Below are 7,244 nucleotides of genomic sequence, written 5' to 3' on the forward strand. Positions count from 1 at the left end.
TACTTAAGCACATTTCTGCAGCCAGCTTGAATTTCTCTTTAGAAAATGAATTTTTCTTTTCTATCACATTGTCAAGCTGCACATTTTCTGAAATTTTATGCTTTGTTTCCCTTTTAAAACTGAATGCTTTAACAAGCACCCAAGTCACCTCTTGAATGCTTTGCTGCTTAGAAATTTCTTCTTTCAGATATCCTAAATCATCTTTCTGAAGTTCAAAGTTCCACAAATCTCTAGGGCAGGGGCAAAATGCCACCAGTTTCTTTGCTAAAACATAGCAGAAGTCACCTTTACTCCAGTTTCCCAACAAGTTCCTTATCTCTATCTGAGACCACCTCAGCCTGGATTTCATTGTCCATATTATTATCAGCATTTTGGTTAAAGCAATTCAACAAGTCTCTAGGAAGTTCCAGAATTTCCCACATTTTCCTGTCTTCTTCTGAGCCCTCCAAACTGTTCCAACCTCTGACTGTTACCCTCTGCCAAAGTTGCTTCCACATTTTCAGGTATCTTTACAACAGCACCCCACTCTACCCATACCAACTTATTGCATTAGCCCATTTTGACACTGCTGATAAAAATAAAGACATAGCTAAGACTGGTTAAATTATAAAGAAGAAAAGGTTTAATTGACTCACAGTTCTATGTGGCTGGGAAGGTCCCACAATTGTAGCAGAAGGTGAAAGGCATGTCTGACATAGCAGCAGGCAAGAGAAAGAATGAGAACCAAGCAAATGAGGTTTCCCTTATAAAACCATCAGGTCTCATAAGGTTTATTAATTACCACAAGAACAATATGGGGGAAACTCCTCCCATGATTCAATTATCTCCCACTGGGTCCATCTAACAACACGTGGGAATTATGGGAGCTAAAATTTAAAATGAGATTTCAGTGGATACACACGCAAACCATATCACTCTCTCACCATGTGATGTGCATGCTCGATTTCACCTTCTACCATGAGTGGAGGCTTCCTGGGGCCTCACCAGAAACAGATGCTAGAGCCATGCTTGTACAGCCTGCAGAACTGTGAGTCAAATCTCTTTTCTTTATAAATTACCCAGCCTCATGTGTTTATAGCAATGTAAAACTGCCCTAACACACTAGTCCAAGATCAAAGTTCCTGCATTTATGTCTGGTGAGGGCTGCTCTGTTTCTAGGGTGGCACCTTGTTGCTATGTCTTCACAATGAGGAAGGTAGAGGGGCCAGAGAGTACTTCCTTTAAGCTTAAGACCTTATATAAGGGTGTTAATCTCATTCATGAGGGCAGACCTCTCATAACTTAAGCACCTTCCAAAGGTCATACCTCTTAATACTGTTGTATTGGGAATTAAGTTTCAAGATGAATTTTGGAGGGAACACCATCATTCAAACTGTATTACTTAATAAATATTAACTCCCCATTCTCCCTCCCGCTAGATGGTCCCAACTGCCATTCTACTTTCTGCCTGATTTTGACTACTCTGGGTACCTCATATAAGTAAAATCACAGTTTGTTTTTTTGTGCCTGGCTTATTATTCTTAGTATAATGTTCTCAAGGTTCATTAATGTTGTAGTATGTGTCAGAATTTCCTTTCTTTTTAAGGCTGAATAATGTTTAATGGTATGCATATAAAACGTTTTGCTCATCCATTCGTCAGTGAACAAGTGGGTTGTTCCCCCATTTTTTATGTTGTGAATAATCCTGCTGTCAACATAGTTGTACAAATATCTCTTCAAGATCTTGCTTCAGTTCCTTTGGGTAAATATCTAGAAGTGGAATTGCTGGATCATGTGGTAAATCTATTTTTAAATCTTTTAAAAACTATCATACTGTTTTCCAGAGTGACTATACCACTTCACAGTCCCACCAAGAGTGTACAAATGATCCAATTTCTCCACATCCTCACCAACGCTTGTATGGACAATCCTGGAAAATGCCCCACATGTACTTGGGAAGAATATATATTCTGTTGCTGTTGAGTATAGTGTTCTGTCTATGTCTGTTAGATCTAGTAGGTTTATTGTGTTGTTCACATCTTCCATTTCCTTTCTTATGTATTGTCTGGTTGTTCTACCCATAATTGAAACTGTGGGACAATGAAGTCCCTGTGTATTATTGTGGAAATGTCTATTTCTCCTATAAATTCTGTTGATTTTTTCTTCATATGTTTTGGTGGTCACTTGTTAGGTGCATAAATGCTTATAGTTGTTATATATTAATGTTTTGAAACTTTATTCATATGTAATGCTCTTATTTGTCTCCTGTAAACTTTTTAATTTAAAGTCTATTGTGTCTGATGTTTGTATAGCTACCTCTGCACTGTTTTGGTTACTATTTACCTGGAATGTCTTTTTCCATCCTTTCACTTTCAACTTATTTGTGTCTGGCTCTAAAGTGAGTCTCTTGTAGACAGCATATGGTTAGATTATGATTTTATAGGCTTTTAAAATCCATTTTTCAATCTCTGTCTTTTGATTGAAGGTTTTAATACATTTCCATTTAAATTGCTCATAAAGGACTTGCCTCTGTTAATTTGTTATTTTCTATATGCCTTGGAGATTTTGTCCCCATTTCTTGTCTTTGATGTGTTGATGTTTAGCTGATTTTTTTTTTTTTTTTTTTTTTTTTGAGACAGAGTTTCACTCTCATTGCCCAGGCTGGAGTGCAATGGCGCAATCTCGGCTCACTGCAACCTCTGCCTCCCAGGTTCAAGTGATTCTCCTGCCTCAGCCACCCAAGTAGCAGGGATTACAGGTACCTGCCACCACACCTGACTAATTTTTTATATTTTTAGTAGAGACAGGGTTTCACCATGTTGGCCAGGCTGTCTGGAACTTCTGACTTCAGGTGATCCACCTGCCTCAGCCTCCCAAAGTGCTGGGATTACAGGCATGCACCACCACACTTGGCCTGTTTGGCTGATTTTTTAAAGTGAAATTTTAATTCCCTTCTCATTTTGTGTGTATATTTTACAACCATTTTCTTTACGATTGCCATGGGGATTACAGTTAACATCCTAAAGTTATAACAGCCTAATTTAAATTTATACCAGCTTAATTTCAATAACATACAAAAACCTCTGCTCCTATACATCTCGATCCCCACTGTGTTAGTCCATTGTCACATGACTATGAAGAAATACCCAAGACTGGGCAATTAATAAAGAAAAGAGTTTTAACTGACACACAGTGTCACATGGCAGGGGAGGCCTGATGAAACTTATAAACGTGGAGGAAGTGACCTCTTCTCAGGGAGGCAGGAGAGAGAATGAGTGCAAGCAGGGGAAATACCAGACACTTATAAAACCATCAGGTCTTGTGAGACTCACACATTATCATGAGAACAGCATGGGGAAAATCACCCCCATGATCCAATTACCTCCACCTGGTCCCAACTTTGACTTGTGGGGATTATTACAATTCAAGGTGAGATTTGGGTGGGGACACAGAGCGAGACCAAATTCCCTACCCTTTTCAGTTGTTACAAAATCAATTATATATTTATGCATTTTTTTATTAAAAACATAAACTAATAATTTCATAATGATAAATCTCTTACATTATGTAGAAAATGCAATGTGGAGTTACAGACCAAAATTGCAACAATACAAACCTTTAGATTCATTATTATTTTTAAAAATTAGTTTCTGAAAATGTGTAGAAAACAAAAAGTGAAGTTACAAATTATTTTGACAGTAATACTAGCTTTTATAATTGCTTGCATATTTACATTCAGTGAGATCTTTGTATTTTCATAATTATGTTAATCACTGTCTAGTGTACTCATTTAAACAGACAGAAATCACTTTAGTTTTTCTTACAGGGCAGATCTAATGATAACAAACTCTCTCAGCCTTGGTTTATATGGGAATATCTTCATTTCCCACTCTCTTATGAAGGACAGTTTTGCTGGATGTAAAAATTTTTGATTGATAGTTTTTCTTTTGGCACTCTGAATATATTGGCCCACTTCTTCCTTGCCTCCAAAGTTTCCAATGAGAAGTTTGCAGACAAACTTATTAAGGATCCCTTGTATGTGATGAGTCACTTCTCTCTTGCTGTTTTCAGGATTCTCTCTTTGTATTTGACTTTTGACTGTGATTATAATGTGTGTTAGTATGGTTCTCTTTATGTTCATCCTAGTTAGAGTTCATTGAGCATTTTGAATGTTTATATTTATGTCCTTAATCAAACTTGTGATGTTTTCAACCATTTTTTAAGTAATCTCTTCACTTTTCTCTCTTCTTCTGAGATTCACACAATCTACACGTTGGTCCACTTGATGTTGTCCCACAAGTCCCTTAGGCTCTGCTCACTTCTCTTCAATCATATTTGTGTTCCTCAGACTCAATAATTTCAGTTGTCTTCAACTTCGTTGATTCTTTCTTCTGCCTGCTCAAATCTTCCCAAACATCTTTCATTATAATGTTTAATCAATTTTCATTCTACACCAGTCTATAAGACCTTAACCCTTTCTATCATGTTGACTGTTCCTTACACACAAGTCCATGACTGCATGGTTTGAAGCATGTTTTAGGCATGTAAAAATCCTTTCTTCAGAAGACTGGGATCTCCCAGCACCCCTTCCTTCACCTTTTCCCCAGAACCCAATTTTTTTAAATGACGTTCCCATCTTGTGTCTACTCATCTCTTGTAACCTATTGCAATTTCTACTTTCCAATAATTATTGAAAATAAAAATTCTGCACTGAATCACTTTTTGATATGTTGTGCTACTGCTTATAGCAGCTCTATTTGACAAAGATCTTGAAAGCAAAATAAAACCTTCCTGCTGGGTTGATCTGTATGTAGAAACTGCCTGTAGCGAAAAGCAGATATTTGGGTTTGGAAGGTACTTTATTGTCTCCACCTGACAATTCCACATATAGCTGACTATCCCTCCTCCCAAGATATAAAACCTGAGCCTTGACCTAGGAAGATGCTAGAGAGAATACAATACCATTTTTATCCACTCTTCTATCTTTACTTAGCCTCCACATTTTCCCATGCTCTACAGAAACGTAATACAATGTAAACAGCATTCAGCTGAACAATCTGAAAGTTACTGTTATTTATTTTCCCATATGCTAGGCAGTACAAAGGGATAAAAAGCAAACCTCTATCTCTCTGTGGTCCTGAATTATGGTTCTTTGAACAGTGAAGGACTAAAAAGCCCATTTCAAATTAGTCTGCCTGGATAATCCTCTGTGATACTAAAACAGGGCAGGTGACTGATCTTGGCAACCCAGTAAGAGGAAGTTATTGCTGCGACTTCTGCTATCAGTATGAAAAAAGCCAGGTTTTATCTGTTGCCTGATTATTTAGGGTTGAAATCTTTTACTTTTATTCAGGTATTTTTTTCTTAATTGTTAACTTTTAATTTTTATGTGTACATAGCATGTATATTTATTTATGAGGTACATGGGATATTTTGATACTGGCATGACAGGTAATTTTAAAATTACCTATATATTTTTTAAAATTATAAAAGGCTACTTATAATGAGAAATACTTATGTACAGAATAGTTTTTAATAAGAAAGGCAAACAACGAAAATTAGTACAATGTGTTTAAATGCAATTTGGCAGTCTTGATCAAAATATTAAATATGCATTCTTTTTAATCCAGTAATTACACCTCAAGGAATTGACCCAATGGCAAATACTTGCACAATTGAAATAAAACAATTTATGTTCAAGGATTTGTATGTAGCTTTATTTACAATAGCAAACAATTAAAGTTATATTAAATGGACACACGTGTGTGAATAAATACATATGGCACATACGTATGAGATAGGTCTGTATGTAATAATTTAGAATGTTGTCTATGATGTGTAAACTGGAGAAGAAAGCAAATTACAGAACTGTATTTATAGTAAAATCTTAGTTTGTAGAACAAATGAGGAATGTGGATATTGTATTTATATATAGGGATGTTTGTGTGTTTGTGTCTGTGTGTGTGTGTGAGACAGGGAGAGAGAGAGAAAAGAAAGGGGCACTCTCAAAAAAGATACAGTAAAATTATTAGTTCTAGCTAACTGTAGAAAGTTAATTTTCAACTTTTAAAAATTAACATCCTCTACTATTGTAATTAAATATGTATTTTTAAAAAAGAATGGAATAATGATAGCATTTTAGTTAGAGAATGTGGAAAGTATTTATGTTACAATCCAATAATAAGGCAATTATTGTAAATGAATAGCAAATTTAACTCTAAGCCTTATGGAAGCCAAGATAAAAAGAGAAAGATTATATATTCTATGCTTTTTATTGACAAAAGAAAATACACAAATATCAGGAAGACTAGACTTTCTCCTAACACTAAACTTTGGAAGAATTTTATCACAAAGGTCTGTATATGTAAAACACTGAATAACATATTGAACAAGGTTTTCAATAGTAGTCTTAAAAAGTTATAGAAAAAATGTGTTTAATCCCTATTACATCAATCCTGCTGTTAATTATATTTTCCAGAGATGGCTGCCACACATGCTCTTCTCACAATATGATGTTGATATAACTCCATCAAGAGGAAGGGCCTATGTTCCCTTTCCTTGAAAATGGGAAGATCTTTGTATTAGGTTGGTGCAAACATAATTGTGGTTTTTGTAATTAAAAGTAATGGCAAAACCCCAATTACTTTTGTACCAACCTAATAATTGCCTTGACCTATAGAATGTGGTAGAGGTGATATTGAGTGACTTCAGAAGCTAGATCATAAAAGGCAACATAGCATCTACCTGGTACACTCTTATATCACTTATTCTGGGGGAAGCCAGTCATCATGTTCTAAGGACACTTAGGCAGCCCATCAAGGGACCCATGAGTCTCTGAGGTTCATGACTAAGAGATTGCACTAACTTGAAACCCATGTTACTGACTTTAGTAAAAGTGGATGCTCTAATCTCAGTTAAGCCTTTGGATGACTACCCCCCACCCCAGACAAATACCTCTGCAATTGCATGTGGAAACTGTCCAGGGGAGGTCTTTCTGAGTTCCTTACCTACAGAATCTGTGGGGAATAATAAGTGACTATTGTTCTTTTAAGCCATTAAGTGTTGAGATTATTTTTTATGCAGCCACAGTAACACTAACTCAATCAAAAATAAATCAAAAAGTGCAGCAGCTTAGTAGAGACATTTTCAAGGTAGCTAAACTACTATTATTTGGTTGAAATATTGTACTCAGGTACCTCACCTTAATGCAAGGAGAAAATTCACAGAACTTGGAGTCAAATCATTTTAACATTTATCTTAACACA

Source organism: Homo sapiens, chromosome 6, assembly GCF_000001405.40.
Source record: "Homo sapiens chromosome 6, GRCh38.p14 Primary Assembly".
In the NCBI taxonomy this organism is placed as follows: Eukaryota; Metazoa; Chordata; class Mammalia; order Primates; family Hominidae; genus Homo; species Homo sapiens.